The sequence below is a fragment of the Homo sapiens genome, chromosome 4 (assembly GCF_000001405.40).
Source record: "Homo sapiens chromosome 4, GRCh38.p14 Primary Assembly".
Taxonomy (NCBI): Eukaryota; Metazoa; Chordata; class Mammalia; order Primates; family Hominidae; genus Homo; species Homo sapiens.
This window is the reverse complement of record NC_000004.12, coordinates 92303546-92316285: the sequence shown is the minus strand read 5'-3', so window position 1 is coordinate 92316285 and position 12740 is coordinate 92303546. Positions and strand designations below refer to the sequence as shown.

The window sequence follows — 12740 nt, the reverse complement described above, 5'->3', positions numbered from 1 at the left end:
TGGTTCTTATATAGGCCATGCTTCTACTGGGCTATGCTGAGAGTTGTTGGTATATCTAAAAAGAAAATTCAATGGTTTCTGTTATTTCCATTCACAGAAGCAGCAAAGAATATCTGGATTCTGAGTAGCAAGACAGCAACTGCCACTAAACCACTAACCCAATTTTGTTGGTTGTCAGATTGCAGAGATTATTAGAAGCAGGAATCAGTCTTCTGGATTTTAATTCGCTTTAAATGTCATACAACAGAACAACAGAACGGGTTCTCTTTTCTTTTTTTTTTTTTTTTTTTTTGCTTTTTGTTTTTGTTTTTTTTTGAGTTGGAGTTTCACTCTTGTTGCCCAGGCTGGAGTGCAATGGTGCGATCTCAGCTCACTGCAACCTCCACTTCCTGGGTTCAAGCAATTCTCCTGCCTCAGCCCCTGAGTAGCTGGGATTACAGGCGCACACCACCATGCCCAGTTAATTTTTGTATTTTTAGTAGAGACGGGGTTTCACCATGTTGGTCAGGCTGATCTTGAACTCCTGACCTCAGGTGATCCACCCGCCTCAGCCTCCCGAAGTGTTGGGATTACAGGCGTGAGCCACCGTGCATGGCCAGGACTAAGTTCTCTTGTCTCACCAAAGCTACTAAGGTATTACCTGGTCTTTGGATTTTAAGATACTAAGTCAATCAATGACATGACATTTTAATGATGTTGAAGTTATATATAGTAAACACTTCACCAGTTTTAGGGGTTCATTCCAACTTAAGTTTGGATTTAAGTCCACGCAGCATTTCCTTCAAATGATATTTCACCACCCCAAGAAGCTATGAACTAGTAAATAGAAAATATCTTTCAATGTTCTGTATTTCATCAATTAAGTTCCTAGGCTCCAGCCAGAACACAATTTGCTTTTTTTGTGAGTCATTGCTATTCTCAAACTATAAGACTCCTACCCTCTCATTGTTCAAATATTCCATATTTACATATCAATTAACAGATGTATCAGAGCAGAAACAACCATCTGACATCCATATCACATTGTTTCCATATGATGAAATGTTTTTATAGAGGACATAACACTTACAACAACAAAGAACACAAAAAATATAATTCACCTGCTATTAGCATGCTTATTTTAGTACAGATATTATTATTTTAGGTGCAAAATCAAAATACACAACTTATGGTTATATTAATACTAATGAAAGAACTAAGATTCATATTCAAAAGGCTGAATTCTGAGGTTACTAAATTTAGAACATTTCCTTTCCTCATGTCCACCTATGACTGAAAATCTATCATCCATTGTTTAGCACAAATAAGTAAAAGATCCATAAAAGGAAATATTTAAATGTGTCACAGAAATCATATGAATATGATATGCCAAATGAATTTATTGTATCTATTTAATTTCTATGCTGCAATGATAAACTTTGCCCTGTAATTACTACACGTTGAGTATCCTTTACCTGAAATGCTTGGGACTTGAAGTGTTTTGGTTTTCAGAATTTTTTCAGATTTTGGAATAGTTGCGTATAAACAATGAGATATCTTGGGGATAGTACTAAATGTAAACATTAAGTTCATTTATGCTTCATATATACCTTACACACATAGCCAGAAGGTAAGATAATTTCATACAACTTTTTTCTATAATTTTGTGCATCCACCACATGAGGTCAGGTGTGGAATTTTCTATTTGTGTTATGATGTCAGTGTTGAAAAGTGTCAAATGTTGGGGCATTTGGATTTTAGATTTCTGGATTAGGTATCCTCAACACATATATCCTTTTTGTCCCTCTACACATTAAAAACTTTTTAAAAAAATGTTTCCAAAGTGATGTTTGAAGCAAATCAAATTCATAACAGAATGCACTCAGAGGAAATTTACAATGGATTTAAATTTGTCTATTATAACAAGAATTTTATGCATTTTAATACCACTAACAGAATAGAAATATTGTGTGTTCCTGGAATTAGTACATTACCAAATGACTAAATATTTATGACATTTGTAATGTTATAGCAATACTATGTAAAATGTAATCTGCTCTTAAGTTCAGATAAAAAATTTCTATGAAATTTGAATGGCAATCTGGGAAACTAAATGAAATCTAAACTCTAAACTTGTCTCTCAGGTTAATTTCAGTGTGTTTGGCCTGGTGTCACTTGATCCAATTTATAAAAGAAAAAGAAAAAGAAAAAAAAACAGATTTCCTTTCTATTTGAACGTTTTCTATCCAAACTCAGGAATTATATAAGTTGAAAGAAAAAGGTGTATCAATTTTAAATCATTTTACTGATAATTCTCTTAGGACTGAATATTCAGAAAATTACATATATATACCAATGCCCAGCTGTAAAAGGAAATCCTTCCCTTAACCTAATATCCCCTTCCTTACCACTTTCTTATGACAAAACTCATAGAATTCCTCATATTCTATTAAATCTTCGGGTTCTCTACAATCAGTATTTTGTCACTTGTAGTCCACTAAGAGCACTTTCTTTAAAGTCATCTTTGTCCTCAACATTTTCAAGCCCAGCAATCAAATCTCCATTTGCATACATACAATTCAACAGGGTTTCTCACTTCTCCTTCTAGAATTACTTTTCTCACATGGCTTCCAGAATACCATGTACTCCTGGTTTTCCTCCTGTCTCCCAGGCTACTAATATTTCTCTTTTCCTGCATCCGCTGCTCTCCTTGGACTCAAACTTTTGGAATGCTAAATGACCTAGTCTTGGAACTCTTCTCTCTCTGCACGTCTTCCCCTCCATTCCTTTATTTTTATTTATTTTATTATTATTTTCTTTCTTTTAATTTTACTTTTCCCTAAGTTATTGGGGTACAGGTGGTATTTGGTTACATAAGTAAGTTTCTTTAGGGGAGATTCGTGAGAACCTGGTGCACTCATCACCAAAGCAGTACACACTGCACCATATTTGTTGTCTTTTATCCCCACCAACCCTTCTTCGCAAGTCCCCAAAGTCCACTGTATTATTATTATGCCTTTGTGTCCTCATAGCTTAGCTCCCACATATCAGTGAGAACATACAATGTTTAGTTTTCCATTCCTGAATTACTTCACTTAGAATAATAGTCTCTAATCTCATCCAAGTCATTGCAAATGCTGTTAATTCGTTCTTTTTTATGGCTGAGTAGTATTCCATCTCATATACACACACACACACACACACACACACACACACACACACACATATCAGAGTTTCTTTATCCACTCATTCTTTGACAGGCATTTGAGTTGGTTCCATGATTTTGCTATTGTGAATTGTGCTGCTATAAACATGCATGTTCAAGTATCTTTTTTGAATAATGACTTCTTTTCCTCTGGGTAGATATCCAGTAGTGGGGTTGCTGCTGCATCAAATGATAGTTCTACTTTTAGTTCTTTAAGAAATCTCCACACTGTTTTCCATAGTTGCTATACTAGCTTACATTCCCACCAGCAGTGTAGAAGTGTTCCCTGACTGCCACATCCATGCCAACATCTACTGTTTTTTGATTCTTTGATTATGACTATTCTTACAGGAGTCTATATTTACAATGATATATTCCCCAAATGTACAGCTCAAATCCCAAACTCACCTCTTAATTTCAGGATCATATAATAAACTTCCAATTTAAACTCTCAAGTTTGATGTCTAATACAAAATTTAATAAATGCACATTTTGATTTGTACCCTAAACTTGCTCATGCCCCCATATTCCGAATATTAGTCAACAGTAACACATTTACTCCATGTATTTGGGTAAAATACCTTGGAAGCCTCTTTACTTTCTCTGGATCTCTCCCACCTGGCTCATCTATCAGAAAATCCTGTTTTTCCGATCTTCACATTATGTCCACAATCTGATAACTGTACATTTAGCTAAGCTACCACCTTGATCCAATTTGCTATTGTCAATTTATACTTCTACTCTATCCAGTGCACTTAAGCAAAGAATGTTATCTTTCTAAAATACAAACTATTTCATATCACACATTTTATCTTAACCCAAATATACCTAGAAGATTTAAATACCTTACCATGGCCTGTAAGTCCCTACAGAATCTTCCTCAGTGCCCTCTCAGACCCCATTTACTTCCACTTCCTGCTTTTCTCACTGAACTATACTCCAATTGCCTTTGAATATATTTCTTAAGTAAACTAAGCAGATTTTCTTAGTGTCTTATCTCATGGCCGTCATTCTTGCTATATCCTCTGACTGAATTATTCTTCATCAGATATCCACATGGTTCACATCCTTTCTTTGGATCAAGTCTCTGTTCCAATGAAAACATACTTTGTCACCCTTCATTCCCTCATTTTGCTTCATAGCATTTATCAATATTTGACATTACATCATATATTTTCTTATCTGGTTGCCTCTTCCATGAGAATGTAAGTTCCTTAAATACAAAAACATAGCTTGTTGGTTCAACATTTTAATTTTAGAGACTAAAAGCAATGCTTCATACAGAGTAAATTCAGAATAAAATGTTTGCTGAATAAAAGAATATTCTCCCAATTAGCACACATACTACATGTTGGTAGTAATGCTTATATTACCATATACTTTCAGGAATATTAACTTCTAGAATTATAATGACTTTATTAATGAAGCAAATATCTTATTTAAGCTTACTTATGAAAAAAATCAGGTACTCTGCTCAATAAAATGAGATTATTTTTTAAAATAGTACTTTTAATTATTTTAGTTTAAAGAAAAACATATGCAAATTGCTATTGTAATATAATTTACTACCTAATGTTTTTCATTTTAAAAATCTGTTAATAAGGAACTTGACTACAGAGTGATTTAAGAATATTTAAGACCATAAGTAGGCCTTTGGTGCTTAGCTTCTGGTGTTCACTTGGCTTCCCTGTATCTACTCAAGAAGCTTTCGGGGTCAACTCAGCCTCAGCTTCACATTGATGACTACTTGGTGAACAACAGTAGGATAAAAGCATAAAAACCTGAAGCAGGAGTCCAGGATAGTGAAGAACTTTGAATTGGTTGCTTTCTTTATACTCTACTTTTGTTTGTAGTGATATAAAGCATATGTTAATATTCCTGATGCACTCCCAGTTTGCAAATTCTAAAGGCAAGTGTACATACACAATGATAGTTGATACATAAGACTATTCATCCCTCCAATTAGTGTTAAACACTAATTTTGCAGTGTTCTATAGGAGTGATGCTGTAGGTAACACCTTGGTACTAATAATAGACAAAACGAAAACAAAATCGAAAACAAAAAACAAATCCAGCTCTCTCAATCAGATACTAGTTATCCAGAATACCTGATGAAGAAATGTACATAATTCTTGTTTGCAACAAAGACATCTTCAATTTAAAGAGTTCTTAACTTGTGTAATTAAGATTTCATGTTCCTTATTTCCCCTTGTATTTCCTTTTTTGAAGGTCACTCTAAGGCAGCTATTAAATATAGCCACACTTGACTGTATCTCTTCTCCCAATTCCTTTCTGTTCCTCCTTAAATATAGCAATTGTTCTCCATTTAGTTCATATAATCTTAGAGATTAAATGAACATTAGTCTAAATCTTATTTTAGGGTTGATAAAAATGAAGACTAAAAATTAAATAACTTTCCAATGTATTCAATTAGCTATTTATAAATTGAGATTTAGTCCAATACCTTCTAAATTCTAATCCAGAATACTTTTTTTTATTATACCTTAACATTGCCCATATGTTTGTCAAATTCTCTGAAATGTGTGTCCACATCAATATGCTAAAATTTGCCAATTTAATGACATGAATCCATAGATGTTCTAATAATCAATTCCAGAACTGTTTAGTATTTTTTCTTATCTTTTAGACATCTGTCTAATCATTTAATTTTCCAATAATTAATGAACTTTGGCATAGGGCAAAATCTAACATAAGACAAACCATTCATTCAGTTAAACTAGTGTTGCATTCTCTAATAATGTGAGTTTGCCAATGTTAAAACTAAATTATCAGATTAAAAGTTGCCCTAAATTTCATCCTCCATTATTCTTATAATGAAATATGCTAGAAGGAAGATAGTGCCTTTTTACAAAACAAATAAATTACTATGTGAGAATAGTTATGAGTTTTACATGAACAAATAAACCCTATAATTGTGGTACTTGTAGTGATAGTAGTGGTGGAGGTGCAACTATGCAAGGAATCGATACAATGCATACAATTAACCAGGCAAAAATTATCTGAAAACATATATGGTCATTCATAAAACTCAATGGTTGACATTATTTTTAGATGTATTTGTGTCCATGTGTTTTTTTTTCCCCACAACTCTATTTTCATATGTTTTGTCTCAAAAACAACAATCAGTTTGGGACCTCAAGTATCCCATAGGTAAGCAGAGCTACCACCGTTAGAAGCTGCTTAACAAACTACTTTATTCACTAATGTGTGTTTACTCCAGCAGTATTAAACACACTTGCATCCTTCCAGGTGTCTTAGATTTTATTCATAGAGAATAAGTATTAGTTTAAGAAGATATTTCTCTCCTATTTTAAATATAAGAAAAAAAATTGTATCACTAGGTCTAGCAATCTAATTTGTTTAGAGGGTATCAGGTGTGTTGATATGTCCTAGCATTAAATTCTTACAAGAATAAGAGACAGGGATCATATTTATTTTTCTAGTTTGAAAATAAAAACTACCTATTTTCTTACAGCATCACAAACCTCATTAAAATGACATTTTTTTCTGAGATTTTTAAAAATATTTCATGTGGTTTTCAAGTAGTACTAAAAAAAAAAATACAGCTCAGAATGCAGTGACACCTAATGGCAAAGATATCTTTATAGGCCATAAATGTATTTTCTAATAAACATTATACTATAGTAATACATTCTAAGTATTGCTACTCACCAATATGCTGTCTGTAATCTAAAATATCATGATGATCCAATAGAAATGTGAATATCTTACTTTTTAAAATAAAGTCATATACGTAGGTGTAGGTGAAGAAAAAAAACTTCTGGATTAAAAAGTGTGCTTTTGAAATTGCAATGGCCCTTTAAGATAAAATTACCATATGATAAAATTAGCCTGAGATATCAGAATGGAATAAAATGTATCTTCCATCACTCCTAACAATTTCAATTGGCTTTTATTTTTTAATAAATCAAAAGTTAATCACCTGGATTTTTATTCCTATTTGGCTTAAAATTTATAACAGATATTTAGTGGATGTACATTTCACCTGGCGTAGAAAGCAAAGGCCCTTAGTGTAATGGCTTATTAGTCATGTCATAGTTGGTATCTTTGATTAATAACAACATTGTCTAACTTAATACACACTTGAATTGTGCTTCAAATAACTGTATTAATGATACAGAGAAGAATAGTAAAGCCAAGTCCCTTAGTACATTCTAGACGTTTACACAGTTATCAAGAACTTCAGGAACAAACAACTACTATAAGTAGAAAAAGGATAAAATATCATTGAGACATCTTACACAATCCAAAAAATCCTTGAGGAGTCCTGGGGGTTATCATTAACCAATGCAAATCATGTAGTCAACTGAAAAAAAAAAATGGTAAAAGAACAGCACATCTTCTGGGAATGCTTTTATATGCTGTAATTGTCAAAATAATCCTTAGTGCAGAAGTAAGAATAACTGGTATTTTACATTTACAATCTATTATTGTTTTTAATGTGTTGACACCTTTTATTTACCCGATTTTGTACTTTAATTTGAACATTCTCATAGTGAAAATATTCTGTGGATTATCTTAGGTTTCTCAAATATAATATCACAGCTGATTATGATTTCAGAGGATAAAGTATCATCTGTTTGTGAGAAAAACATGAATAAATGCATCTTTTCTACTCCATGTTGACATAAGGTATTTTACTATGACTGAAAACAACAAAAATATGCTAGTGATTTGTATAATATATGAATAAGTACACTGTTTGAGTGTTCCCTTGTAGAGATGTATAACTGAGGACAGCTAATTTACAATCAGTTCTGTGAGCACAGGAACCAGATAAAGAAAGGAGCATATATTAAACTGTTAAAACATGAGATCTTCCATAGTTGATATGAAGCAAAACACAAACTGTGCAGTTGACTGGAAATGCCACCTAATCCCTGCTGAATTAAAGCAGTGCTCTAAACTCCTGTTGTGTTTAGGGAGTAAAGAGTGTGGGACGACTGATGTATGAAGAAAATAGCAGTCAGCGTGGCTAATCTCAAAGACTTTGGAGCTTTCTAGCTACATAAATCAGAGCGACTTCTGAATAGCCTCATAAAACACAGTATCATTGCCATTCCACTCACGACTTTTTGGTTCTTCCTACAGCATGCAGATCATTAGGAAACTTCTAAGCAATCAAGTAATGTGGGTCTGATGAAATTACTCAATCAATGCATAGGCTCAAAGTAGAAGCATAATTCAAAATTGCATAGTTTTTATATGTCAAAAGACCTTTCTTTAATTGGGGCAAAGAAGATCACAATGGAAGTGATTCATTTTTAAATACTATATGGTTGTGTATCTGTGTGTGGATGTGTATTAAAAATATACGTAATGATTAAATATTTTTAAATATTTGAAACTCAAAGTAATCATAAAATTGTGCATTTTTGACTAAAATAAATACATTTTCATTTCAATCATTATGGTTTAACCATTATGTTTCATCACTGTAGTGAATCAATATGTTTAACAAAACATATTAGAGTTTAAAATGTGTAATTGACCTTATTAAACTACCGGCATGAGGTAAAAACTGAAGAGAAAGAGAGAAAGAAGGAGATGATTTTCATGTATATATAAGTTGGTTCAATACCAAAATAATTCAATATATAAAAAGCCTCTTAGAGCAGTGTCTTTTCATCTTTCCAGTTTGCCTGAACTACATATTGCAGCTACTTTCTGCTTGAACACATCACATGAGGCTGGGAAAACCTTTCATTTCTGCATATCTCCTTCCATCGCTAGAGGTGAAATATTCCCTTTCCCTCCAGTTTCATCACATTCATTCCTTCAGTCCTGAACTAATATATTTCCCCAGAAACATATTTCTCACATTAAATATTTAAATGAAGGCAACACCTCCTAAAGAAAATTAATTCTTTTCCTATTCAAACAAGTAAGGAAACTAATCCAATTCATGTTAACTGGTGCTTTACAATTTTAATATGGACATTCGGTTTTGAATTTACTATACTTTTGCTGAGAGTAGGGGTGGAGGCACTGAATTACACACATACTACCCGTCATCATTTTTTATTTTTTTAATTTAGGAGTTAATGTTTTTCGATATATTATAAAAGATAAAGTTTTTGAAACAATTTGCTAGCCTCATGACAATATTAGGTAGTCTATAAAACAGCTAATTATCTCATCTAATGTACTAATTATATTCAAGTCAAATTAATTGTCTCAGAAGTAACTATATCTGTTAGTAGGATATACACAGTTAATGTATACAACCAACTTTCTAAAGAAATCTGTAATTTGTACACAGTTAATTTTTAAATGTGATTATAGCCACTCTGACAGACAACAGTATACAAACTAAAAAATACAACAGTTTTGTTCTATTTTGAAACAGATGTCCAGACTGCATTGCAAAATAATATTTAACTAGTAAGGGATAGCAAAAGCTGTAGGTATTTGTAAATAATGTATTTATCATGCAGACCACAGAATAAGCGATTTAAAAAAAGCATTCTTCCACAGGCTTTCCCTCCTGAGAGATGAGGAGCCTACATCAGAAATCCCTAATCATACAATGAATATAAAGGTATTATGATTATATATCTGCATTCCTGCTCCAATCATTTACAACTAGATATAAATGTATGCCATTTCTCTAAAAGGAGCATAGTTCATTTCTGAACTCTATCAGAACATTGCTGAACCACTCAATGAGACCATAATTTCTTGCTGAAAAGTTCTGAATCTGTAGGCACTGTTAGCCCCCAGGCAAAACGGGATCCAGCAGGCAAGCTATTAGTGCTTGACTTACTTAATGCACAAACGCTAGGTTTTCTGAATCCTGACCTCATTACCCCTTGCACAGAGACAGACAGTTCTACTGATATAAATGATAGAGAATGGCAGACATGTTTACAAAGACAGCCTCTGAGACCAAGAGAGGGAGCCCCCTGGAGCGGAGGGGCTGGCCACTGTGGGCGCGCACGCTAGACAGAAATCCCTCGCTTGGGCGGGCACAATCGCCACCTGCAGCAGATTCCCCTACCAGGAGTATGTGTACGTGCGTGTGTGTATGTGTATGCGTGTTGTGCGGTGGAGAAGCAGGGGTACAGAAAGGGGAGAAGCTGTGACCCATCTGTCGCCTCAATTTGCAGAACACCAAGCCATGCGTACAGATAAAAGTCCTGTGCCCAGAAAAATTCCCCCAAAGGGACCTCTCTGCAGCCCAGCAAAGAAACCTTGCTGGCTCGGTAAGCGAATTTCCGAAAAAGAAATCGTCGCATTAACGCAGAAAAGGCTGCAAGAGCCTGTCTCCCGCTCAGCTCTCACGGATTAGCAAGTGAGTAGAGTTGGAGCCTGAAGCTGCGAGCGCTGTGCATGATAATGACGCGCAGCCCCCCGCCCGCCCCTGCTCGCCGCGGCCAGTCCCGGCCCGTCTGGTTGCCAATAGGTGGGGCCACCAGCATCTCGGAGCCCGCTCGGCAGTCCTTCTCAGAGTCGCGGCCCGCAGTAGTCCCGGCGCCTTCGCTGTCTGCCTTGCGCGGCTACTCGGAGTTGACTGCGAGGCGAGGCGAGGCGAGGCAAGGCGGATATCTGCTAAGCAGACCTCGGGAGCAGCCTGCGCGCATTCGCTTCCCCGCGTTTCCCAAGCGCCCCGGGGTCAGTTTCGCCGCCGCGCCAGGCCCCGGGAGCGTGTCCGAGGAGGCGAGGCACGCGACAATCAGTCCTTGGCGACACTGCCGCCAGCCCCTCCTGCCACCGTCTCAAAGACTACACGCAAGGATCATAAAGCCAAGAAGATGTGAGAAGAGAGGGTGGCTGGGGGCGCATCCGGCACCCCCGTCACCATCGCACTAAGCTGCGGCGAACTCAGCCGGCTCACGTTGCAAAACCACCTGTTCGATCCGAAGGGAGCTCCCCCTACCCCCCAGCCCAGTTCTTTTCATCTCACAGGTGACAGCTTCTCTGCTCCCCCAAAGATAAATTTTTAAATGGAGCAAATGTACATCCGGGAAAAAAAATATGGAAGATAAGAGTCAATTAAACTCCCTTTCCCCACACACTTAGAATCCCCCTGCAGTTCCCAGCACACACTCACACTCAGGTCAACTCGAGACCCCCACGCATCCAGCCACATTCCACGAATCACTGCAAAACAACAGCACAAGTCAGTCGAGGTTCGAGCATCCACATCCTTTCAGAAAACTGAGCAAGTGTGAGGGAAGGGTAGCGGGAAGGGGCAATGAACTGAAGCCACCTCCAACAAGACACACAGAGACCGGAGAGGGGGAAAGCGAAGGGGAAACATTTGAGAACTGAAACGGTAAAAGTAACCACGAGCTGCACCAACACTTTCTTACCGATGTGAATGATCGAATCCGCATTCGCCGAGTCCCAGGTTCGAGACCACCAGACGGACAAAACCAAGAGAAAGGGGAAAACTTCCATCTCCTCCTATGCCGATTCTCTTGGAGGATGGATTTTCTTCCAATTTTTTTTTTTTCAAACAGTCCAAAGAGTTTGAGGTCACGGTGGAGTTTAGCGCAGCTTTTTCTTTTTTTCTAAATTCCTATTGCCAGAGCAAAGCCTTTTATCGTCGCCGAGAAAGGCAGAAGGGAATGACAGAAAGAGCCCAGCCTGAGGAAACCTCCTTCGCAAAGCCGTGTCACTTGGAGGGGAATTTTGGCATCGCCAGAGTTGTTTGCAGTTTGGCTTTTGAAAAATATATCCAGCCTCTACTGCTCTTGGGCAGGGGGAGAGGCTGGGGCTCAGATCAGACCCATCGCTGCGCGGGGGCCGCGGGTCTCCGGTCCCAGCTCCGCTGCAACTTCCAACACCCCCCTCACGCCGGATGTGCCCCCTTCCCCGCACCCTCTCGGACCAAAAAAGACCCCCGCCCCCGCCCCTACAGCCCGCAGAGAATCACTGGTCTTCGCTGCCAGAATCTAAGTGGAAAGGAAAGATTAGGAGATTCCAAACGGAGCAGCCAGATTCCACCAGGGAGGGGGGAAAAAAGCCCTCTCCAAGAGGGGTAGAAAAAGTGAACTTCAAGGTAATGCAGATAGTAATGCAGAGAAAATTCCCTTTCTGCGTGAGGCGCGGAACGCAGCTTGGCGAGGCGGGCCCGGGGAGCCGGTTTGCTGGGGCGCGGTGGCGGGGGGGTTGCGCCGGGCGCGAGCAGCGGGGCCGGGCCAGAGGAGGGAAGCCGCCGCAGGCTGCAGGATGCTTTTGGAGCGTTTCGCCTGGCGGGATGCAGGAAGCAAGGAGCGAGCCTGGCAGCTTCAGCACCAGCCCCACGTTGCCTAGAAATGGATCACCTAGGAGAAGGAGCGAGCCTGCGAGAGAGCGGTGCTGTCAGGCGGAGAGAGGGGGAAACCAAGAGAGGAAGAGCTTCTCTCTAATAACCACCTCCTCCCCCTATCTGCAATACAAGGGAGAAACAAAATAGTGCTCTCATTTCCCATGGAATCTTCAACCGGGACTGAGAAAAAGGCAGGACTGTAAAAAGACATTGAAGCTTTTTTTTTCCTTTCTTTATTTTACGAGGTTAAATGCAACC

The 12740-nt window shown here is 37.7% G+C and overlaps 1 protein-coding gene across 5 annotated transcripts in view, besides 1 other annotated feature; it reads right to left on the bottom strand.

Moving 5' to 3' along the window:
- The window catches only part of GRID2 (glutamate ionotropic receptor delta type subunit 2), a 1506491-nt gene extending 1494171 nt beyond the window's left edge, over positions 1–12320 (bottom strand). For 4 of the 5 annotated variants that reach the window (NM_001440459.1, XM_024454024.2, NM_001510.4 and 1 more), the window contains exon 1: positions 11542–12320. In NM_001440459.1, the coding sequence (NP_001427388.1) occupies positions 11542–11629 (88 nt within the window). In that variant the 5' untranslated portion in view covers positions 11630–12320. The remainder of the gene's footprint in view (positions 1–11541) is intronic. The other variant, NM_001286838.1, reaches the window with a different exon arrangement.
- Positions 10494–10788: a silencer, noted in NCBI's record as "tiled region #6143; HepG2 Repressive non-DNase unmatched - State 9:DNaseU, and K562 Repressive non-DNase unmatched - State 24:Quies". NCBI's record gives its function as "represses a minimal TATA promoter and a strong SV40 promoter by Sharpr-MPRA in HepG2 and K562 cells {active_cell/tissue: HepG2 | K562}" and the evidence as "EXISTENCE:reporter gene assay evidence [ECO:0000049][PMID:27701403]".